This window comes from Homo sapiens, chromosome 1 (genome assembly GCF_000001405.40).
Source record: "Homo sapiens chromosome 1, GRCh38.p14 Primary Assembly".
Classification (NCBI taxonomy): domain Eukaryota; kingdom Metazoa; phylum Chordata; class Mammalia; order Primates; family Hominidae; genus Homo; species Homo sapiens.
The window spans coordinates 91348293-91373922 of record NC_000001.11 but is presented as its reverse complement, the minus strand read 5'-3'; the positions used below and the strand labels follow the sequence as shown (position 1 = coordinate 91373922).

The window sequence follows — 25630 nt, the reverse complement described above, 5'->3', positions numbered from 1 at the left end:
TCTTGAGGAAAGGGGGACTCATGTTCATCCTGCTTACCACTCAATCTTAGCAGGTGTATTAGGTCATTCTTGCATTGATATAAAGAAATTTCTGAGCCTGGGTAATTTATAAAGAAGGGAGGTTTAATTGGCTCACAGTTTTGCAGGCTGTACAAGAAACATGGCACCACATCTGCTCGGCTTCTGGTGAGGCCTTGGGCTGCTTACAGTCATGGCAGAAGGCAAAGGATGAGTTGGTGTATCACATGGTGAGAGCAGGAGTAGGGGTCGGGGGGTACCATACACTTTTAAGCAACTAGATGTCACAAAAACTCACTCACTATTGTAAGAATAGCACCAAGCCATGAGGATCTGCCCCCATGATCCATTCACCTCCTACCAGGCCTCACCTTCAATACTGGAGATTACAATTTAGCATGAGATTTAAATGGACAGCATCCAAATTATAGCAGAAGGTCTCAGCAGAGTGCTAGCACATGATTACTATGTAATGAACATTAACTTATTATTATTGTTAATAACTTCTGGAAATCAGTAAATATGTTTAGTGGTAGACCTCAGACTAAAATTGGACATGTGGATATGAGCAGATACTTATTTTTTCTGCCTAATTTTGTATGGTGGGGGAATATACTTCTCTCCGCTTTGGGTCAGATCAGCTTTCCAATTACCAGTCTGTTCCTTTGCCACCACCTCTGGTTGCTTGTCAACCAAAGATATGTAGCAAGCCTAGAGGAGCCAATTTAGTCTTCTTTACATTCTTTGTTTTTTTTTAATCCACTAAAAAGGTAGACTATAAAGATAGTCTATTAAAGAATTACAAACATAGCCACTTATTCACCCTCTAGATACTATTTTGACACTTTTCCTTCCATTTAAAGGATTTAACTTGATCTTCTTAGTTACTACCATATGAAAAAAAATCTCTAGGGTGTGAAGCATGTAGAGTAGTTCTTTTATAATACACGTCAACAAAGCAAGATTAAGCAATAAGAAACAGTAGAGAGCAAGACAGAATGAGAAAAACCAACAAAGAGCTCACAGTCAAAAAGTAGATGAAGTCTGAGAGGTAGAAAGAAAGGGAGAAAGTGAAATTATTGCTAATAAGAATACCATCAAAAAATGATTAATAATTTTCATACCAACTGCATGTAGTTTTATAGCATTCTTATGAATTTTCTTTTTTTTATTATACTTTAAGTTTTAGGGTACATGTGCACAACGTGCAGTTTTGTTACATATGTATACATGTGGTGTTGGTGTGCTGCACCCATTAACTCATCATTTAACATTAGGGATATCTCCTAATGCTATCCCTCCCCATTCACCCCACCCACAACAGGCCCCAGTGTGTGATGTTCCCCTTCCTGTGTCCATGTGTTCTCATTGTTCAATTCCCACCTATGAATGAGAACATGTGGTGTTTGGTTTTTTGTCCTTGCGATAGTTTGCTGCGAATGATAGTTTCCAGGTTCATCCATGTCCCTACAAAGGACATAACTCATCATTTTTTATGGCTGCATAGTATTCCATGGTGTACATGTGCCACATTTTCTTAATCCAGTCTATCATTGTTGGACATTTGGGTTGGTTCCAAGTCTTTGCTATTGTGAATAGTGCCTCAATAAACACACGTGCACATGTGCCTTTATAGCAGCATGATTTGTAATCCTTTGGGTATATACCCAGTAATGGGATGGCTGGATCAAATGGTATTTCTAGTTGTAGATCCCCGAGGAATCGCCACAATGACTTCCACAATGGTTGAACTAGTTTACAGTCCCACCAACAGTGTAAAAGTGTTCCTATTTCTCCACATCCTCTCCAGCACCTGTTGTTTCCTGACTTTTTAATGATCACCATTCTAACTGGTGTGAGATGGTATCTCATTGTGGTTTTGATTTTCATTTCTCTGATGGCCAGTGATGATGAGCATTTTTTCATGTGTCTGTTGGCTGCATAAATGTCTTCTTTTGAGAAGTGTCTGTTCATATCCTTCACCCACTTTTTGTTGGGGTTGTTTGTTTTTTTCTTGTAAATTTGTTTGAGTTCATTGTAGATTCTGGATATTAGCCCTTTGTCAGATGAGTAGATGGCAAAAATTTTCTCCCATTCTGTAGGCTGCCTATTCACTCTGATGGTAGTTTCTTTTGCTGTACAGAAGCTCTTTAATTAGATCCCATTTGTCAAGTTTGGCTTTTGTTGCCATTGCTTTTAATGTTTTAGACATGAAGTCCTTGCCCATGCCTATGTCCTGAATGGTATTGCCTAGGTTTTCTTCTAGGGTTTTTATGGTTTTAGGTCTAACATTTAAGTCTTTAATGCATCTTGAATTAATTTTTGTATAAGGTGTAAGGAAGGGATCCAGTTTCAGCTTTCTATATATGGCTAGCCAGTTTTCCCAGCACCATTTATTAAATAGGGAATCCTTTCCCCATTTCTTGTTTTTCTCAGGTTTGTCAAAGATCAGATGGTTGTAGATATGTGGCATTATTTCTGAGGGCTCTGTTCTGTTCCATTGGTCTATATCTCTGTTTTGGTACCAGTATCATGCTGTTTTGGTTACTGTAGCCTTGTAGTATAGTTTGAAGTCAGGTAGTGTGATGCCTCCAGCTTTGTTCTTTTGGCATAGAATTGACTTGGCAATGCGGGCTCTTTTTCGGTTCCATGTGAACTTTAAAGTAGTTTTTTCCAATTCTGTGAAGAAAGTCATTTGTAGCTTGATGGGGATGGCATTGAATCTATAAATTACCTTGGGCAGTATGGCCATTTTCAGGATATTGATTCTTCCTACCCATGAGCATGGAATGTTCTTCCATTTGTTTGTATCCTCTTTTATTTCCTTGAGCAGTGGTTTGTAGTTCTCCTTGAAGAGGTCCTTCACATCCCTTGTAAGTTGGATTCCTAAGTATTTTATTCTCTTTGAAGCAATTGTGAATGGGAGTTCACTCATGATTTGGCTCTCTGTTTGTCTGTTATTGGTGTATAAGAATGCTTGTGATTTTTGTACATTGATTTTGTATCCTGAGACTTTGCTGAAGTTATCTATCAGCTTAAGGAGATTTTGCGCTGGGAACATGGGGTTTTCTAAATATACAATCATGTCTTCTGCAAACAGGGACAATTTGACTTCCTCTTTTCCTAATTGAATACCCTTTATTTCTTTCTCCTGCCTGATTGCCCTGGCCAGAACTTCCAACACTATGTTGAATAGGAGTGGTGAGAGAGGGCATCCCTATCTTGTGCCAGTTTTCAAAGGGAATGCTTCCAGTTTTTGCCCATTCAGTATGATATTGGCTGTGGGTTTGTCATAGATAGCTCTTATTATTTTGAGATACATCCAATCAATACCTAATTTATTGAGAGTTTTTAGCATGAAGGGTTGTTGAATTTTGTCAAAGGCCTTTTCTGCATCTATTGAGATAATCATGTGGTTTTTGTCTTTGGTTCTGTTTATATGCTGGATTACGTGTATTGATTTTCGTGTGTTGAACCAGGCTTGCATCCCAGGGATGAAGCCCACTTGATCATGGTGGACAAGCTTTTTGATGTGCTGCTGGATTTGGTTTGCCAGTATTTTATTGAGGATTTTTGCATCGATGTTCATCAGGGATATTGGTCTAAAATTCTCTTTTTTTGTTGTGTCTCTGCCAGGCTTTGGTATCAGGATGATGCTGGCCTCATAAAATGCGTTAGGGAGGATTCCCTCTTTTTCTATTGATTGGAATAGTTTCAGAAGGAATGGTAACAACTCCTCCTTGTACCTCTGGTAGAATTCGGCTGTGAATCCATCTGGTCCTGGACTTTTTTTGGTTGGTAAGCTATTAATTATTGCCTCAATTTTAGAGCCTGTTATTGGTCTATTCAGAGATTCAACTTCTCCTGGGTTAGTCTTGGGAGGGTGTATGTGTTGAGGAATTTATCCATTTCTTCTAGATTTTCTAGTTTATTTGCGTAGAGGTGTTTATAGTATTCTCTGATGGTAGTTTGTATTTCTGTGGGATCGGTGGCTATATCCCCTTTATCATTTTTTATTGCGTCTATTTGATTCTTCTCTCTTTTCTTCTTTATTAGTCTTGCTAGTGGTTTATCAATTTTGTTGATCTTCTCAAAAAACCAGTTCCTGGATTCATTGATTTTTGGAAGGGTTTTTTGTGTCTCTATTTCCTTCAGTTCTGCTCTGATCTTAGTTATTTCTTGCCTTCTGCTAGCTTTTGAATGTGTTTGCTCTTGCTTCCCTAGTTCTTTTAATTGTGATGTTAGGGTGTCAATTTTTATCTTTCCTGCTTTCTCTTGTGGGCATTTAGTGCTATAAATTTCCCTCTACACACTGTTTTGAATGTGTCCCAGAGATTGTTACATTGTGTCTTTGTTCTCATTGGTTTCAAAGAACATCTTTATTTCTGCCTTCATTTCATTATGTACCCAGTAGTCATTCAGGTTGTTCAGTTTCCATGTAGTTGAGCGGTTTTGAGTGAGTTTCTTAATCCTGAGTTCTAGTGTGATTGCACTGTGGTCTGAGAGACAGTTTGTTATAATTTCTGTTCTTTTACATTTGCTGAGGAGTGCTTTACTTCCAACTATGTGGTCAATTTTGGAATAGGTGTGGTGTGGTGCTGAAAAGAATGTATATTCTGTTTATTTGGGGTGGAGAGTTCTGTAGATGTCTATTAGGTCTGGTTGGTGCAGTGCTGAGTTCAGTTCCTGGATATCCTTGTTAATGTTCTGTCTCGTTGATCTGTCTAATGTTGACAGTGGGGTGTGAAAGTCTCCCATTATTATTGTGTGGGAGTCTAAGTCTCTTTGTAGGTCTCTAAGGACTTGCTTTATGAATCTGGGTGCTCCTGTATTGGGTGCATATATATTTAGGATAGTTAGCTCTTCTTGTTGAATTGATCCGTTTACCATTATGTAATAGTCTTCTTTGCCTCTTTTGATCTTTGTTGGCTTAAAGTCTGTTTTATCAGAGACTAGGATTGCAACCCCTGCCTTTTTTTGTTTTCCATTTGCTTGGTAGATCTTCCTCCATCCCTTTATTTTGAGCATATATGTGTCTCTGCACGTGAGATGGGTTTCCTGAATACAGCACACTGATGGGTCTTAACTCTTTCTCCAGTTTGCCAGTCTGTGTCTTTTAATTGGAGCATTTAGCCCATTTACAGTTAAGGTTAATATTGTTATGTGTGAATTTGATCCTGTCATTATGATGTTAGCTGGTTATTTTGCTCGTTAGTGGATGCAGTTTCTTCCTAGCCTTGATGGTCTTTACAATTTGGCATGTTTTTGCAGTGGCTGGTACCAGTTGTTCCTTTCCATGTTTATTGCTTCCTTCAGGAGCTCTTTTAGGGCAGGGCTGGTGGTGACAAAAATCTCTCAGCATTTGCTTGTCTGTAAAGGATTTTATTTCTCCTTCACTTATGAAGCTTAGTTTGGCTGGATATGAAATTCTGGGTTGAAAATTCGTTTCTTTAAGAATGTTGAATATTTGCCCCCACTCTCTTCTGGTTTGTAGAGTTTCTGCCGAGAGATCAGCTGTTAGTCTGTTGGGTTTCCCTTTGTTGGTAACCCAACCTTTCTCTCTGGCTACTCTTAACATTTTTTCCTTCATTTCAACTTTGGTGAATCTGACAATTATGTGTCTTGGAGTTGCTCTTCTTGAGGAGTATCTTTGTGGCGTTCTCTGTATTTCCTAAATTTGAATGTTGGCCTGCCTTGCTAGATTGGAGAAGTTCTCCTGGATAATATCCTGCAGAGAGTTTTCCAACTTGGTTCCATTCTCCCCGTCACTTTCAGGTACACCAATGAGATGTAGTTTTGGTCTTTTCACATAGTCCCATATTTCTTGGAGGCTTTGTTTGTTTCTTTTTATTCTTTTTTCTCTAAACTTCTCACTTCATTTCATTTATTTGATCTTCCATCCCTGATACCCTTTCTTCCAGTTGATCACATCGGCTACTGAGGCTTGTGCATTCGTCACATAGTTCTCGTGCTGTGGTTTTCAGCTCCATCAGGTCCTTTAAGGACTTCTCTGCGTTGGTTATTCTAGTTAGCCATTCGTCTAATTTTTTTTCAAGGTTTTTAACTTCTTTGCCATGGGTTCAAACTTCCTCCTTTAGCTTGGAGTAGTTTGATCTTCTGAAGCCTTCCTCTCTCAACTCGTCAGTCATTCTCCGTCCAGCTGTGTTCCATTGCTGGTGAGGAGCTGTGTTCCTTTGGAGGAGGATAGGCACTCTGATTTTTAGAGTTTCCGGTTTTTCTGCTCTGTTTTTTCCCCATCTTTATGGTTTTATCTACCTTTGGTCTTTGATGATGGTGACGTACAGGTGGGTTTTTGGTGTGGATGTCCTTTCTGTTTGTTAGTTTTCCTTCTAACAGTCAGGACCCTCAGCTGCAGGTCTGTTGGAGTTTACTGGAGGTCCACTCCAGACCCTGTTTGCCTGGGTATCAGCAGCGGTGGCTGCAGAACAGCGGATATTGGTGAACCGCAAATGCTGCTGCCTGATTGTTCCTCTGGAAGTTTTGTCTCAGAGGAGTACCCAGCTGTGTGAGGTGTCAGTCCGCCCCTACTGGTCGGTGCCTCTCAGTTAGGCTTGGGGGTCAGGGACCCACTTGTGGAGGTAGTCTGTCCGTTCTCAGATCTCAAGCTGCGTGCTGGGAGAACCACTACTGTCTTCCAATGTGTCAGACAGGGACATTTAAGTCTGCAGAGGTTTCTGCTGCCTTTTGTTTGGCTATGCCCTGCCCCCAGAGGTGGAGTCTACAGAGGCAGGGAGCCCTCCTTGAGCTGCGGTGCGCTCCACCCAGTTCGAGCTTCCTGGCTGCTTTGTTTACCTACTCAAGCCTCGGCAATGGCGGGTGCCCCTCCCCCAGCCTCACTGCCGCCTTGCAGTTTGATCTCAGACTGCTGTGCTAGCAATGAGCGAGGCTCTGTGGGTGTAGGACCCTCCAAGCCAGGCGCAGGATATAATCTCCTGGTGTGCCGTTTGCTAAGACCATTAGGAAAGTGCAGTTTTAGGGTGGGAGTGACCCGATTTTCCAGGTGCTGTCTGTCACCCCTTTCTTTGACTAGGAAAGGGAATTCCCTGACCCCTTGCATTTCCCGGGTGAGGCGATGCCTCGCCCTGCTTCAGCTCAAGCTCGGTGCACTGCACCCGCTATCTGACACTCCCCAGTGAGATGAACCCAGTACCTCAGTTGGAAATGCAGAAATCACCTGTCTTCTGCATTGCTCACGCTGGGAGGTGTAGACTGGAGCTGTTCCTATTTGTCCATCTTGGCTCCACCCACCTCTTATTAATTTTCTAAGTTTTTAAAACAAAGATGGGGTTTCAAAAACATTGACCAGTTCATTATAAAACTAGTAATAGAATAAAGGTAAACTGGGATTTTTTTAAAACGTGTAGGTATAGGGTAGAGAGGCTGTAAGTAGGTCTAAACAATTTGAAGCTTTCTACTTGTTGGGTGAATAAACTAGATGATCAAGTTGGTTCATATCACTTTTTGTCAGAAACAAGATGTGGGGATCAAGTAATGAGGCTTGTTTGCTTGCTCATAAACTTAACTCTGAAGGCAGTTTTGAGAGACTTACGGAATTCTTTGTGCAATGGCAGCATGATTCACATAGAAATATCTGGTGTCCTAAGGTGAATACATAATAAACATTTTTGAGCTGAACTTATCTATATGAGTAGGGAATTGAAATACACTACAAGTTCCTTTAAAACTAATTTACAATTTATCCTCTCCCTTTTTTCTGTTGTGAACAAATTAGCTAATTTTGTTTCAGATAATCATTTTTTTGCAAACATATATCTTAATTCCTTTTCTCATTTCCCACTCTTACCTAGTTACTAATGGAAAGTTTCTCTCTCCTTTAACTCTCCTCTCTTCTTTCTTCAGTCTTTGCCCCTTATTTTTTCTTTATCTCTTTTTATTCCTGTTTTTTTTTTTTTTTCAGGAACATACCGGAGTTAGAGACTCAGATTTGAATTACAGTGCTGCTACTTTTACTAGCTGTGTACTATTGGACATATTACTTAACTTCTTTCAACTTCAATTTCTTAATCAATATTGTATATGTGAGAATCAATCATCTCACCATGTTTCTATGATAATTAAATAAGCGACATTTCTAAGATACCTAACAGTGGGTAGCAGAGTTTGTACTTAATAGTAACATGCCTTTCCTCTTGCCTTATCTTCATTCCATTGTGAATCCTTAAAAAAAGTCATGAGTGTTATCATAAAAATAATTCATCCTAGTGTCATATCTGCAACAAGGAAGTAGAAAAATACTAGATGTTTTTATATACTTAAGAACCAAGCCTACCAACTTCCAAAATCTTTTAATGTACCCAGAATTCATTTTCAAATTATCAACACACTTTCTTAACTTCCTCTTGTCTTTTCACCTAGTTTTCTTTTTTAAAAAATAAATTTTATATGGCATATTTGAGGTTTACAACATGATGTTATGTGATTCATATAGCTAGTAAAATGGTTACTGTAGTGATGCAAATTAATATATCTCTCATCTCACATAGTTTTTTTTTTGACAAGAGCAGCTAAATCTACTTACTTAACAAGAATCCCTAATCCAAAATAATTTTTATTAACTATAGTCTTTATGTTGTACATTAGGTCTCTAGATTTGTTCACACTATGTATCTGCTTTTCTGTATATCCTTTGACCTACATCTCCCCATTTCTTCCCCCGTTCCCACCCTTCCTGCCTCTGATAACTACTATTTTATTCTCTATCTCTGTATAGTTGACTTTTTAAAAACACGTTTCACATGTGAGTGAGAACATACAATATTTTTCTTTCTGTGACTGGCTTATTTCAGTTAGTGTCTTAGCAATGTACTCCAGGTCCAGCCATGTTGTGGCAAGTCGCAGAATCTCATTCTTTTATAAGGCTGAATAATATTCCATTGTGTGTGTGCATGTGTGTGTGTATGTGTGTGTATACTATGTTATATATATATACACACCAGGCGCGGTGGCTCACGCCTGTAGTCCCAGCACTTTGGGAGGCCGAGGCAGGCGAATCATGAGGTCAGGAGATCAAGACCACCCTGGCTAACATGGTGAAACCCCATCTCTACTAAAAATACAAAAAATTAGCCGGGCGTGGTGGCTGGTGCCTGTAGTCCCAGCTACCCTGGAGGCTGAGGCAGGAGAATGGCGTGAACCCCGGGGGGCAGAGCTTGCAGTAAGCTGAGATCGTGCCACTGCACACTCCAGCCTGGGCGACAGAGCAAGACTCTGTCTCAAAAAAAAAAAAAAAATATATATATATATATATATATATATGTATATGTATATGTATATATACACACACAGATACCACATTTTTCTTATGCATTAGTTCATCAACAGACCTTTAGGCTGTTTCCATATCTTAACTACTATGAACAATCTGCAAGGAACATGGGAGTGCAGATATCTTTATGAGGTAATGATCTCTTCTTTGGGTATATACCCAGAGAAGAGGTTGCTTGGTAATATGGTAATTCCATTTTTAATATCTTTAGAAATCTCAATACTATTTCCATAATGGCTGTACCAATCTGCATTCCCACCAACAGTGTACTAGGATTCCCTTTTTTCCACACCATCACCTGTATTTGTTGTCTATAATATAGTGGTTTTAATTTACATTTCCTGATAATTAGTGATGTTCAACACCTTTTCATATACCTGTTGGCCATTCTTATGTTTTTTTTTTCCTTCCACTTTTAAGTTTAAGGGTACATGTGCAGGATGTATGGGTTTGTTATATAGGTAAACATGTGACATGGTGGATTGCTGTACAAATCATCGCATAACCTAGGTATTAAGCTCAGCATCCATTAGCTATTATTCTTAATGCTCTCCCTCCCCAACCTCCCCAACAGGTCCCAATGTGTTCCCCTCCATATGTCCATGTGTTATCATCATTCAGCTCCCACTTATAAGTGAGAACATGTGGTGTTTGCTTTTCTGTTCCTGTGTTAGTTTGCTGAGGATAATGGCTTCCATCTCCATCCATGTCTCTGCAAAGGACATGATATCATTCCTTTTTACGGCTGTGTAGTATTCCAGAGTATATATGTGCCACATTTTCTTTATCCAGTCTATCACTGATGGGCATTTAGGTTGATTCCATGTCTTTGCTATTGTGAATAATGCTGCAATGAACATATGTGTTCATGTATCCTTATAAAATAATAATTTATATTCCTTTGGGTATATACCCAGTAATGGGATTGCTAGGTCAAATGGTATTTCTGGTTGTAGGTCTTTGAGGAATTGCCACAACGTCTTCCACAATGGTTGAACTAATTTACACTACAAACAGTGTAAAAGCGTTCCTTTTTCTCTGCAACCTCGCCAGCATCTGTTTTTTTTTTTTTTGACTTTTTAGTAATTGCCATTTTGACTGACATGAGATGGTATCTCATTGTGGTTTTGATTTACATTTCTCTAATGATCAGTGATGTTGAGCTTTTTTTCATAATATTGGTTGGCCACGTGTGTCATCTTTTGAAAAGTGTCTGTTCATGTCCATTGCCCGCTTTTTAATGGGGTTGTTTGTTTTTTTTCTTGTAATTTTGTTCAAGTTCCTTGTAGACTCTGGATATGAGACCTTTGTCAGATAGATAGATTGCAGAAATTTTCTCCTATTCTGTGGGTTGTCTATTTACTCTCATGATATTTCTTTTGCTGAATGGAAGCTCCTTATTTTGATTTTAATTTGATGCCATTTGTCAATTTTTGCTTTTGTTGTAATTGCTTTTGGTGTTTTCTTCATGAAATCTTTGCCCGTGCCTATGACTTGAAGGGTATTGCCTAGATTTTCTTCTGGGGTTTTTATAGTTTTCGGTTTTACATTTAAGTCTGTAATCCATCTTGAGTTAATTCTTGTGTAGGGTGTAAGGAAGGGGTCCAGTTTCAATTTTCTGCATATGGCTAGCCAGCTCTCCCAGCACCATTTATTAAATAGGGTGTCCTTTCCCCATTGCTTGCTTTTGTCACATTTGTTGAAGATCAGATGTTTGTAGGTGTGTCGTCTTATTTCTGGGTTCTCTATTCTTTTCCTTTGGTCTATGTGTCTGTTCTTGTACCAGCCCCATGCTGTTTTGGTTACTATAATAGTATAGTTTGAAGATGGGTAGAATGATACCTCCAGCTTTGTTCTTTTGCTTAGGATCATCTCAGCTATTTGGTTCCATATAAATTTTACAATAGTTTTTTTCTGATTCTGTGAATAATGTCAATGGTAGTTTAGTGGGAACAGCATTGAATCTATAAATTACTTTGGGCAGTATGGCCATTTTCACAATATTGATTCTTCCTATCCATGAGCATGGAATGTTTCTCTATTTGCTTGTATCCACTTTGATTTCTTTGAGCAGTGGTTTGTAGTTTTCCTTGAAAAGTTTCTTTACCTCCCTAGTTAGCTGTATTCCTAGGTATTTTATTCTTTTTGTAGCAATTGTGAATGGGAGTTCATTCACTGTTTGGCTCTCTGACTGCCTGTTGTTGGTGTATAGGAATGCTAGAGATTTTTGCACATTGATTTTGTATCCTGAGACTTTGCTGAAATTGCTTAATAGCTTAAGAAGCTTTTGTGCTGAGAAGATGACGTTTTCTAAATATAGGATCATGTCATCTGCAAACAAAGATAATTTGACTTCCTCTCTTCCTATTTAAATACCTGTATTTCTTTCTCTTTCCTGATTGCCCTTGCCAGAACTTCCAAAACTGTGTTGAATAGGAGTGGTGAGAGAAGGGATCCTTTTCTTGTGCCAGTTTTCAAGGGGAATGATTCCAGTTTTTGCCCATTCAATATGGTATTGGCTATGGGTTTGTCATATATAGCTCTTATTATTTTGAGGTATGTTCCTTCAATACCTAGTTTGTTGAGAGTTTTTAACATGAAGGAGTGTTGAATTGTATCGAAGTCCTTTTCTGTGTCTATTGGGATAATAATGTCTTTCATTCTGTTTATGTGATGCATCACATTTATTGGTTTGTGTACATTGAACCAACCTTGCATCCTGGGGATGAAGCCAACTTGATCATGGTGGGTAAGCTTTTTGATGTGCTGCTGGATTCAGTTTGCCAGTATTTTATTGAAGCTTTTTGCATCAGTGTTCATTAAGGATATTGGCCTGACGTTTTCCTTTTTTGTTGTATCTCCACCAGGTTTTGGTATCAGGATGATGCTGGCCTCATAAATGGGTTAGGGAGGAGTCCCTCCTTTTCAGTCTTTTGGAATAGTTTCAGTAGAAATGGTGACAGCTTTTCTTTGTACCCATGGTAGAATTTAGCTGTGGATCTTTCTGGTCCTGGGCTTTTTTTGGTTGGTAAGCTAGTTATTACTGTCTCAATTCCAGAACTCATTATTGGTCTGCTCAGGGATTCAATTTCTTCCTGGTTCAGTCTTGGAAGAGAGTGTGTGTCCAGGATTTCATCCATTTCTTCTAGATTTTCTAGTTTATGTGCATAGAGGTCTTTACAGTATTCTCTGATGGTTGTTTGTATTTCTATGGGGTCAGTGGTGATATCCCCCATATCATTTCTGATTGTGTTTATTTGATCCTTCTCTCCTTTCTTCTTTATTAGTCTAGCTAGCAGTCTATATATTGTGTTAATTTTTTCAAAAAACTAGCTCCTGGATTTGGTGATTTTTTTTTTTTGAAGGGTTTTTTCATGTCTCTATCTCCTTCGGTTCAGCTCTGATCTTCGTTATTTCTTGTCTTCTGCTAGCTTTGGGGTTTGTTTGCTCTTGGTTCTCTAGTTCTTTTAGTTGAGATGTTAGGTTGTTAACTTGGGATATTTCTAGCTTTTTGATGGGGGAATTTGGTGCTATATGTTTCTCTCTTAACACTGCTTTAACTGTGTCCCAGAGATTCAGGTACATTGTCTCTTTGTTCTCATTAGTTTCAAAGAACTTCTTGATTTCTGCCTTAATTTCATTATTTACCCAAGAGTCATTCAGGAGCAGGTTGTTCAGTTTTCATGTAGTTGTGTGGTTTTGAGTGTATTTCTTAATCTTGAGTTCTAATTTGATTGTGCTCTGGTCTGAGAGACTGTTTGTTATGATTTCCATTCTTTTACATTTGCTGAGAAGTGTTTTACTTCCAATTATGTGATCAGTTTTAGAGTACATGCCATGTAGCTATCAGAAAAATGTATATTCTGTTGAATTTGAGTGGAGAGTTCTGTAGCTATCTGTCAGGTCCACTTGATCCAGAGCTGAGTTCAGGTCCTGAATATCTTTGTTAATTTTCTGTCTCAGTGATCTGTCTAATATTGTCAATGGGTTGTTAAAGTCTCCAGTATTATTGTCTGGGAGTCTGAGTCTCTTTGTAGATCTCTAAGAACTTGCTTTATGAATCTGGGTGCTCCTGTATTGGGTGCATATATATTTAGGATAGTTAGCTCTTCTTGTTGCATTGATCCCTTTACCATTATGTAATGCCCTTCTTTGTCTTTTTTGATCTTTGTTGGTTTAAAGTCTATTTTGTCAGAAACTAGGATTGCAACCCTTGCTTTTTTCTGTTTTCCATTTGCTTGGTAAGTTTTCCTTCATCCCTTTATTTTGAGCCTGTGTGTCTTTGCATCTGAGATGGGTCTCTTGAAGACTGCATACCAGTGGGTCTTGGCTCTTTATCCAGCTTGCCATTCTGTGCCTTTTAATTGGGGCATTTAGCCCATTTACAATTTAAGATTGGTATTGTTATGTGTGAATTTGATCCTGTCATCATGATGCTAGCTGGTTATTTTTCAGACTTGTTTATCCTTTCCATATTTAGTGCTTCCTTCAGGAACTCTTGCAAGGCAGGCCTGGCGACTTCCCTCAGCATTTGCTGTCTCTGAAAAGAACCTTATTTCTCCTTTGCTTATGAAGCTTTGTTTGGCCAGATAGGAAATTCTGGGTCAGAAATTTTTTTCTTTAAGAATGTTGAATATTGGCTCCCAGTCTCTTCTGGCTTGTAGGTTTTCTGCTGAGAGATCCACTGTTAGTTTGATGAGTTTCCCTTTGTAGGTGACCTGACTTTCTCTCTGGCTGCCCTTAACATTTCTCTTTCATTTCAACGTTGGAGAATCTGATGATTATGTCTTTTCAGGTTGATGTTCGTGTGGAGTATCTTCCTGGGGTTCTCTGCATTTCCTGAATTTGAATGCTGGGCTGTCTTGCTAGGTTGGGGAAGTTCTCCTGGAAGTTCTCTTGAAGTATGTTTTCCAGTGTGGTTTTGTTCTCCCTGTTTCTTTCAGGTACCAGTCAGTTGTAAGTTTGGTTTCTTTACTTAATCCCATATTTCTTGGAGGTTTTGTTCATTCCTTTTCATTCTTCTTCTTCCTTTTTTTTTTTTTTTGTATTCTTGTCTGCCTGTCTTATTTCAGAAAGATAATCTTCTAGCTCAGAGATTCTTTCCTCCATTTGGTCTATTCTGTTATTGATACTTGCGATTGCATTGTGAAGTTCTCGTGTTGTGTTTCTCACCTCCATCAGATCAGTTATGTTCCTCTCTAAACTGGCTGTTCTGGCTATCAGCTCCTGTACTGTTTTACCATGGTTCTTACCTTTTTTTGCATTAGGTTATAACATGCTCCTTTAGCTCAGTGAAGTTTGTTATTACCCACCTTCTGTAGCCTACTTCTGTCGATTCAGCCATCTCAGCCTCCAGCCCAGTTCTTAGCTGGAGAAATGTTACAGTCATTAGGAGAAGAGACACTATGGCTTTTTCAGTTTTCAGTGTTTTTACGTTGACTCTTTCTCATCTTTGTGGGCTTATCTACCTTTGATCTTTGATGTTGCTGACCTTTGAATGAGGTTTTTATGGGATCTTTTTTGTTGTTGGTGGTGGTGTTTTCTGTTTGTTTTGCTTTTAACAGGCCACTCTACTGTAGAGCTGCCGCAGTTTGCTGGGGATCTGCTCCAAACCCTAGTTGCCTCAGTTTCTCCCGTACCTGGAAATATCACCAGTGAAGACTGTGAAACAGCAAAGATGACAGCCAGCTACTTCCTCTAGAAGCTCCATCCCCAGGGAGTACTGACCTGTTGCCAGTCTGCATGTACCTTTAGGAGGTGGCTGGAAACCCCAGTTGGGATGTCTCACCCAGTCAGTGGAACAGGATCAGGGACCCCCCCAAAGAAACAGTCTGACTGTTTTTTTGGTAGAGCAGGTGTGCTGCATTGCCAAGGCCAATATCAAGGTGCTTTGCCCTATGTTCTCTTCTGGGAGTTTTATGATTTCAGGTCTTACATTTAGATCTTTTGTCAATTTTTGAGTTGATTTTTGTGTATGGTATAAGGGTGCAATTTTATTCTTTTGGATATGGAAATTGTTTTTCCAGCCTCATTTATAGAAGAAACTATTGTTTCCCCATTTTTTTTGGTGCCCTAATGGAAAATTAGTTGACTGTGTATGTTTGGACTTATTTCTGGGCTCTCTGTTCTGTTCCATTGGTCTGTGTTTCTGTTTTTATGCAAGTACTATATTGTTTTGGTTAGTCCAGCTTTGTAGTATAATTTTAAATCAGAAAGTGTGTAGCTCCAACTTTCTTTTCCTTCTCAGTTTTGCTGTCACTATCCAGGGTTTATTGTGGTTCCATACTAATTTTATGAAAAAAAATTTTTTTTTTGAGATGGAGTCTTGCTCTGTTGCCCAGGCTGGAGTGCAGTGGCGCGATCTCGGCTCACTGCAAGGTCCGCCTCCCAGGTTCACACCATTTGTATTTTTAGTAGAGATGGGGTTTCACCATGTTAGCCAGGATAGTCTTGATCTCCTGACCTTGTGATCCACCCATCTCGGCATCCCAAAGTTAATTTTATGATTTTTTCTTCTATTTCTGTGAAGGATGCCATTGGAATTTTGATAGGGATTGTATTGAATCTGTACTTCTTTGGGTAGTATGGACATTTTAACAATATTAATTCTTTCAATCCATCAACACAGGATATCTTTCCATTTATTTTTGTCTTGGATTTCTGTCACCATTGTTTGATAGCTTTCAGTGTACAGATCTTTTACCTCCTTAATTAAACTTATTCCTAAGCATTTTATTTTTTTATGCTGTCATAACTGGGATTGTTTTCTAGATTTCTTTTTCAGTTAAATTATTATTTTTGTTTAAAAATGCTACTAATCTCTGTATATGGATTTTGAATCCTGCAACTTTACTGAATTATTAGTTCTAACAGTTTTTTAATGAATCTTTGAGGTTTTTTTACATGTAAGATAATGTTGTCTGCAAATAAAGATAGTTTTACTTCTTCCTTTCAAATTTGAATTCCTTTTATTTTTTTCTTATCTGATTGCTCTTGGTAGTACTTCCAGTACTGTGTTGAATAGAAGCAGTGAGAGTGGGCATCCCTGCCTTGTACTGTATCTTGGTGGAAAAGCTTTCAGTTGTTCCCCATTGATTATGATGTTGGCTGTGGGCTTTTCATAAATGGCCTTTGTTACATTAGTTGAGAAGTTTTCCTTATATGCCTGCGTGTTAAGAGATTTTATCAAGAAAGGATGTTGAACTTGCTGTCAAATGCTTTTTCTGCACCAATTGAGATGGTCTTGTGTTTTTTATCTTTCATTCTGTTAATGTGATATATCACAGTGGTTGATTGGCATATATTAAACCAGCCTTGCTTGCCAGGAATAAATCCACTTGGCCATGGTGTATAATCCTTTTTGATGTGTTGTTGAATTCAGTTTGCATATATTTTATTGAGGATTTTTGCATCAATATTCATCAGAGATACTAGCCTATAGTTTTCTTGTAGTGTCTTTATGTGGCCTAGGTATCAACGTGATAGTAGCCTCACAAAATATGTTTGGAAGTATTCCCTGTAGCTGTATTTTTTGGAATAGTTTATGAAGTATTGGTGGTAATTCTTCTTTGAATGTTTGGTAGAATTCAGTTGTGATGCTGTCTGGTTCTGGGCTTTTCCTTGTTGGAAGATTCTTCATTACTACTTCAATCTCATTATGTGTTATTGGTCTGTTTAAGCTTTCTATTTCTTCCTGATTCAAACTTAGCAGGTTGTATTTTTCTAGGAGTTTGTCCATTTCCTGTAGGTTATCCAATTTGTTAGTATTAATATATAATTGTTCATAATAGCCCCTTATGATCTCTTTGATTTCTGAGGCATCTGTTGGTGATTTCTCCAGTTTCATTTTTTATTTTATTTGTTTCTTCTTTTTTTTTCCTTAGTCTAGCTAGATATTTGTTTATTTTATTTTTTCAAAGAACCAAGTCTTGGTTTTATTGATCATTTTCTATGTTTTTTTGGTGGATCTCTATTTGATTTATTTCTGTTCTGATCTTTATTATTTCCTTTCTTCTGCTAACTTTGCATTTAGTTTGTTCTTTTGCTAGCTCCTGTAGGTATAATGTTAGGCTGTCTATTTAGTATCTTCTTTTTTTAATATAGGCACTTATTGCATAAAATTTCCTCTTGAGTTCAAGACCAGCCTGACCAACATGGGGAAACCATGTCTCTACTAAAAATACAAAATTAGCCAGGCGTGGTGGTACATGCCTGTAATCCCAGCTACTCAGGAGGCTGAGGCAGGAGAATCGCTTGAACCTGGGAGGCATAGGTTGCAGTGAGCCGAGATCATGCCATTGCACTCCAGCCTAGGCAACAAGAGTGAAACTCTGTCTCAAAAAAAAAAAAAAAATTCCTCTTAGAACCACTTTTGCTGCATCTCATAGGTTTTGGTGTGTTGTCTTTCCATTGTTACTTGTCTCAAGATATTTTTTAATTTCCCTTTTGGTTTCTTTGACCATTGATTGTTTAGGAGCATGTTGTTTAGTTTCCACATACTTGTGATTTTTTTCAAGATTTTTCCTGTTATTGATTTCTAGTTTCATATTGTTGTGGTCAGAAATGATACTACATATGATTTCAATCGTCTTGAATTTAGATTAATTAAAAATAGTTAAATCTAGTTTTGTGGCTTAATGTATGATCTGTCCTGTAGAATGTTTCGTATGCTCTAGAGAAGCGTATACATTCTGCTGCTATTGAATGCAAAGTTCTATATTTGTCTGTTAGGTCCATTTGACTCAAAGTACAATTCAAGTCCAGTATTTCTTTGTTAACTTTCGGTCTGGTTAATCTATCATTATTGAAAGTGGGATATTGAAGACCCCTCCTATTATTGTATTGTTGTCTATTTCTCTCTTCATGTCCTTTAATAATGTTTTATATATATGTTATGCTTCAGTGTTGGGTGCTTATATATTTACAATTCTTATGTGCTCTTGATGAATTGACCCCTTTGTCGTTAAATTATGACCTTCTTTGCCTCTTGTAACAGTTTTTGACTTAAAGTCATTTTAACTGATGTAAGAATAGCCACCCTGCTCTCTTTTGGTTACTATTTATGTAGAATATTTTCTTTTACCCCTTAACTTTCAGCCGGTGTCCTTATAGCTAAGATGGATCTCTGGTAGGCAGCATGTAGTTGGATCTTGGTTTTTTTTTTTTCTTCTATCAATTTAGACACTATATGTCTTGATTGGAGAATTTAATTCATTTGCCTTCAGGGTTATTATTGATAGATAAGGACTTACTCCTGCCATTTTAATTGTTTTCTGGTTGCTTGGTAGATCAGTTGTTCCTTTCTTCCTCTTGTTGTATAAGTTTGTGATTTGTTGTTTTTCTGTAGCGCTAAGCTTTGATTCCTTTCTCTTTCTCATCTGTATCTTCTGTAGCTTCTTGCTTTGCAGTTACCACAAGGCTTACGTAAAATATCTTAGAGTTATAATAGACTATTTTAAACTGAACTTCAGTCACATACAACTACTCTAGATTTTTGCCCTCCCCCCACAATTTATGTTTGTTGACACAGTTTACATCTTTTTATATTCAGTATTCCTTAACAACTCATTGTAGCTGTATTTTTGACTATTTTGATTTTTCACCTTCATAATAGAGATTTGAAAGATTTGCACACCACCATTACAGTGGTGGCACATTCTGAATTTGACTGTGTATTTACCTCTACCAGTGTGTTTTATGCTTTCATATGTTTTCATGATACTAATTATCATTCTTTTGTATCTGGTAGAAGAACTGCTTTAATCATTTCTTATAAGGCAGGTCTAGTGGTGAATTTCTTCAGCTTTTATTTATCTGGCTGAGACTTTATTTCTCCTCATTTCTGATGAACAGCTTTGCTTTGTATAGTATTGTTTACTGGCAATATTGTCTTCTTTCAGGACTTTGAATGTATCATCTCATGCTCTCCTGGCCTGCAAGGTTTCTGCTGAGAAACACTGATAGTCTAATGGAGATTCCCCTATAAATCACTTGACACTTTTCTCTTGCTACTTTTAAAATTCTCTCTTTGTCTTTGACTTTCCACATTTTGGTTATAATGTGCCTCAGTGAGGACCTTTTTGGGTTTGAACGTGTTTGGTGATTTTGAGATTCATGGAACTGGATGTCCATGTCTCTCCCAAGACTTGGGAAGTTTTCAGCAATTATTTTATTAAATAAACTTTCTATGCCTTTTCCTCATTCTTCTCCTTCTGGAACCTCCATAATATGAATACTTGTTTGCTTAATGGTGTCCCATAAGTCCTATAGGCTTTGTTCACTCTTTTTTGTTCTTTTCTCTTTCTTTTTTTTCCCTCTGACTAGGCTATTTCAGAAACCTAACTTCATTTCACAGATTCTTTCTTCTGCTTGTTTTGGTTTGCTGTTGAAGCTCTCTATTTTTGATTTCATTCATTTAATTCTTTAGCTCCAAGATTTCTGTTTGGTTCTTTTTGAATAACTTTCTTGTGCAGATAATGAATTGTTTTCCTGATTTCATTGACCTGTCTATCTGTATTCTCTTGTATCTCAGTGAGTTTTCTTAGGATCATTACTTTGAACTCCTTTTCAGACAGTTTACAAATTTCTGTTTTTTGGAATCAGTTACTGGAGAATTATTGCGTTCCTTTGTTGGTGGTGTATTTCCTGGTTTTTTGGTTGGTTTTTTTTTTTTTTCATGTTTCCTGTGTCCCTCTATTGATGTCTGCACAACTAGTGGAATAATCACCTCTTTCAAATTTATAGAGAGGCACTTTCCTTTAGTCATTCTGTTCAAAATGTAGTTAGTTGTTTATTCATTGTTTTGCTCTTTTTTGTGGGGAAGATGAGCATTAGGCATCTCTAGTTGACCATCTTGCTTCCTCCTAACCTAGTTTTTTTAAATGCCATGTCTCAGAGCACTGGAAACACTATGGTTTATTTCCATGTTTTTTTTTTTTTTTTTTTTGCTTATTTACTAGTAATATAGTAGTTTTAGAAATGGTTACTTCTTATAATTTTTTTTAGGCAAATTATGAGAGTAGACTTTTATACTGACTTGTTAATCACCAATTATGTTGTTTTCTTGGGGAAAGTGAGTTTTCCAAATTCTTGGTTTAAAAGTGAGCTTTAATATTGTAGCTCATAAGTTTAGGGACTTTTGAATATGAAAGTTGGATATTTTCTACTTCTTAAAATAGTTTTCAGATAATGATATTGTGAAAATTTTTTGATATCTCTAAGTTTTAAAATAATAAACTGTTTCAGAGTTCTCTAATGTTACTGGGAGTAACTCAATAATTTTATGGTATTTTTAAATAGGTTACAGAAGTATGCATATTCCGTAAGAGATTCAAAACTGAGAGGTAGGTTTAGAGATAATTTTTGAATAGCATTTTCACATATAGATGAAAGGTGCCAATTATTGATGAAATATTAATAGTAACAGCTGATATATTTCTATTACAGATATCTTAAAAGATGGTGCTGCTTATCATCATGCTGGTATGGAGCTGTCAGATAGAAAAGTAGTTGAGGGAGCTTTTACTGTTGGAGATTTACCAGTTCTTTGTAAGTAAAACATATTTCTCGTGGATACTATAAAATATTTTGGAAAATTATTTTTAAGAGGAAAAAAGGAAAAAGCGCAAGTGTTCTGCTTGTTTCTGCTTTTCTTCTGAGAATATAAAATTAAGTGGTTACCTATGCATGTAGATGCTACAGTAAATTCTTTGGTAGTGTTTAGTTCTTTATCATATTGTTGAACATGGTGTAATTTGAAAAACAAGAATTTAATAGGTTTTTGGATTTAAGGTGTGTTACTATTTTAGATTGTAATGCTCTTTTTTCTTTTCTAAATTTCTTATGTATGAGTTTTTATTACATTTATAAGAATGTCTTTTATTAAAAAATGTTCCTGAAGCAACAAAGTTAAATGGCTCAAAATTACTATGTCTTAATCTGATGCAGTTACTACCAGTACTTTAGCTATGGGAGTAAATTTGCCTGCTCACCTAGTAGTTATAAAATCTACAATGCATTATGCTGGAGGACTGTTTGAAGAGTACAGTGAAACAGATATTCTACAGATGATTGGTAGAGCTGGTCGACCTCAAGTAAGTGACAATAACTTTGCTTTTTATACTTAAAAACATGATAAAAACAAAAAAATTGTGTATTTTTTGATTAGCATGTCATAATTGTATCAGGCTTAAAAGTAATATAGCAGAGAAAATTTACCTTTAGTGGAGGAATAAAAGTAAGACAAGCCTCACCAACTGGGACATACTTCCTTCATTCTGTCTAAGCTTGTCTTGGCTGATGAGGGGATGGGTTTATGAATGGGTATGCTGTTAAAGGTCTTTTTGATTTTGACTGTTTTTTTTTTTTTTTAAATTCTGAATGGGGGTACTCTTAGCATTTTGGATGGAACAGGTTTTCCTTGCTTAGGGCTGTCACATTACAGAACATGAAACATCCCTAGGTCCTAGCACTAAATGCTAATTGTGTTCCCAGGAATTATGACAAAAGTCCAAATACATTTCAAAACATACCCTACTCTGACAAATACATGAATAAGTCATTTTTATAGGTATTATGGGAACATCAGGAAGATTATATTTTCAAAACATTTGTAAATATTATGTTGTACAGTTCTACAATTTCATAGAGTAAATCAGATTATATGTAAATTATACCAAATCTTACAACTTTTATACAGTTACCAAAGTTTGTTTTGATTTTAACATTGCCAAAATTATGTTACATTGAAACCAAAGTGATATTTACAGCTATACTCTTGGAAGGCTTTTAAATTAAATTTTAGGTTAAAAAAATGAGAGCATTTTTAAGGCCTTTTTGAAGTATTATTTCAGACAAGGAGACTGTTTAATATAAAATGGAAGTCTTCAGTTATTGAAGAGGACTGCTACCAAGATGTGCTCTTCTTCACTAAATTTCTGTTTGTTTTCTCCCCAGTTTGACACTACAGCTACTGCAGTTATCATGACTCGATTAAGCACAAGGGACAAGTACATTCAGATGTTAGCTTGTAGAGACACTGTAGAAAGCAGGTAGTATAAAAAAAAGTTCCAAAAAGATACTAATGCTAATATAGCTTATTTTATTTCCTTTTAAAATATCAAAGGGAAATTTGGTTTGGAGATTTTTTTAAGGCAATTTTCTGTAAAGTTTTCAACTATTTAACTAGAAAGTTTGTGTCATTTTAGGGAATTTAATAATTTTTTTAAAAGGTACTAGTTTTATTCAGTGGTATTTCTTGGCAAGCATGTATTCTTGTTTATAACAAACCCTAATTTGTAATAAAGCCTTAGTAATTATGATTATGTTATAATTTATATATGAAATTATGTAAATTTATAATTACTAATTTGTAATAAAGGAGAAATATCATTTTCACTTCTTATTTTAACTTAATAATAGAGGAAATCTGGAACCTATTAGTAAAGTATTTAATGTATTCTCTTTTGGAGAAAGTAGGATATAATTTACGCTTCAACTTTTGTTAAAGCAATAACCTGTCTTCTACAGCCATAGAGTAGAGAGGTATATCTGAAGCCTTTTAGAAGTTGAACTGACTTTTTAAGGTTTTCTTTTATGTTTTTGGAAATTAAGTTATATTTCATGAATTAGTAAAGTAGCAATGGGTATATTCTATATTATTAAAGTTAAAAAGTAAGAGTTATGGCATTGAACTGCATATTCATAATGCAAAGTTTTTTTTCATTAGTTTGCACAGACATCTTATTGAACATTTAAATGCAGAGATAGTACTGCATACCATCACGGATGTGAATATTGCTGTGGAATGGATACGATCAACTCTGCTTTATATCAGAGCCTTGAAAAATCCATCTCATTATGGTTTGTTACTTTGACTTGGAAAAGTAGTAATTTTTTCAAGCCAGCTAGGCCTGTATTTATACTAATAAGTTACAGGATAGATAGATTACAGAAACTAATAGGTAACAAAACAAAAGGTAACAACAGTCCCAAATACATTTAGAGACAAGAGTAGACAAGCTGAGAAATTTTTATCTGTTTTACTTCTAGTGTTTCAACAAGGTTTGAAATCAACACCATTAAAAATAGATCTAGTAGAAAAAAATTCAGCTCCAATAAAAATAACAGAAATGTCTAAATCATTGAAAATAAGTTAGTTACAAAAAGTTTTGAATTTTTTCTGTACTTAGTGTTCAGCTACTCACTTTTTCTGAGTTTATGACTGTTTATTTTTCAGTTTATAAGAAATGAAAGTATATAGTACTACTGTTGCTGCCACAATTTTCATCTTGCTTCTAAAGCTAACCCACATCTGGTTATGTGGCTTCCAGAGGGTTTTTTCACTCATTCATTCAACTTGGGGTTGTTGAAATACCAAATTAAAGCCTGACTTGTTGAAGTATCATTCTAATGTACAGAGGTTCAAAACTTTCAGATCTCAAAGAGTAATTAATATAAGCCTATATTAAAAGAATATCTATATAAATACTCATATCACTTAAAAACTTATATTTCAACTAGGTAATACATTTACTTAGTTCAAAAATCATAAAGTGAAGGAATATATACAACTAAAATTCTTCCATGTATATCCCCACCCACACAGTTGTTCAATTCCTATCTCTTGCCTTTCCTTCCCCTAGTTCTGTAATCATTGGTATATCTTTTTTGTATAATTCTTGCATATAAAAGTAAATAAGAAAATGTAATTTTAGTTTCGCACCTTTTAAACACAAATCGTGGCATATTGTATTAGTTTTCCATTCCTTTTAACAAATTACCCTGAAACAAATCATCTAGAAACAACCAGAATTTATTATCTCACACAGCTTATGTGGGTTAGGAATCTGGGAGTGTCTTAGCTAGGTGGCTGTGGGTCAGATGCTCTCTTCAGATTGCAACATATGTCAGCTAGGGCTGCAGTCATCTGAAGGCTTTCCTGGGTCTTGAAGATTCACTTGTAAATTGTCTCACTCACAGAGCTATAAGTTAGAGGCCTCAGTTTCTCACAGTTGTTGGCAGGCCTCAGTCTTTTGCCAGGTGGATCTTTCCTCATAGCATGGCAGCTGACTTTTCTCAGGATGAATGATCTGAGAGAGAAAGAGAGAGAGAGACAGAGACAGAGACAGACTAAATCAGAAGCAGCAGTACTTTTTTATAACTTTGTCTCTGAAGTCACACATCATTACTTCTGCTTTATTCTGTTTTTTAGAAGCAAGTCACTGAGTCCTGGTCACATGAAGGCGAGAGGGATTAAGTTCATCTCTCAGAGGGCAGAATATCAAAGAATTTCTGGGCATTTTTTTTTTTTTTGAGATAGCCTCTCTTGATTGCCCAGACTGGAGTGCAGTGGCACAATCTTGGCTCACTGCAATCTCCACCTCACAGGTTCAAGCAATTCTCTGCCTTACCCTTCTGAGTAGCTCAGACTACAGGCACGCACCACCACACCTGGCTAATTTTTTCTATTTTTAGCAGAGACGGCGCTTCACCATGTTGACCAGGCTGGTCTCAAACTCCTGATCTCAGGTGATCCACCTGCCTTGGCCTCCCAAAGTGCTGGTATTACAGGTGTGAGCCACCATGCCTGGCCTTGTGGCATATTTTTTTAAACCTCCATTATTTTAGTCTTCTGCACATTCCTTTTTTTCTTAGTATGTCTTGGAAGCTTTTTTGAGACAGGCTGTCACTCTGTTGCCCAGGCTGAAGTCCAATGGTGTGATCACAGCTTACTGCAGCTTCAACCTTCTGGGCTCAAGTGATCTTCTCACCTCAGCCACCAGAGTAGCTGGTACTACAGGCACATGCCAGCACACCTGGCTAACTTTTGAAAAAAAAAATTGTAGAGGCAGAGCTTCCCTATGCTGCCTAGGCTGGTCTAGAACTTGTGGGCTCAAGCAATCCTCTGATTTCACCCTCCCAAAGTGCTGTGATTATAGCTGTGAGCCACCATGCCTGGCTGGAAGCTTTTTTTTGTAATAGCTAAATAATATTCCATTTACTTATGTATCACTTATTTAAATGATCCCCAATTGATGGACATTTATACTTTGTCTAATTGTTTGCTCTTACGAACAATGCAGCAAAAAAACCCTTCATTTTTTACATGTATGAATCTATCCGTATGATAAATCTCTAGAAATGAAATTCCTGTGTCAAAGGATATATGCATTTATAAATTTGATACCTGTGGCTAAATTGGTACCTTAGTAGCTCATATATCTACCAGCAGTGTTCAAAAGTGCCATATTTTGTTTCTCCAGCCTTTCCTTCAGGGTGTATGCTTGTGTATTTTTATCAATATTA

General features: G+C 36.9%; 1 protein-coding gene across 21 annotated transcripts in view; it reads left to right on the top strand.

The window, feature by feature from the left end:
- The window catches only part of HFM1 (helicase for meiosis 1), a 147242-nt gene that overhangs the window by 34085 nt on the left and 87527 nt on the right, over positions 1 to 25630 (top strand). For 20 of the 21 annotated variants that reach the window (XM_011540852.3, XM_011540857.2, XM_017000490.2 and 17 more), the window contains 5 exons: positions 20624 to 20667; positions 20771 to 20872; positions 21272 to 21417; positions 22280 to 22374; positions 23052 to 23185. In XM_011540852.3, the coding sequence (XP_011539154.1) occupies positions 20624 to 20667; positions 20771 to 20872; positions 21272 to 21417; positions 22280 to 22374; positions 23052 to 23185 (521 nt within the window). The remainder of the gene's footprint in view (positions 1 to 20623; positions 20668 to 20770; positions 20873 to 21271; positions 21418 to 22279; positions 22375 to 23051; positions 23186 to 25630) is intronic. The other variant, NR_165455.1, reaches the window with a different exon arrangement.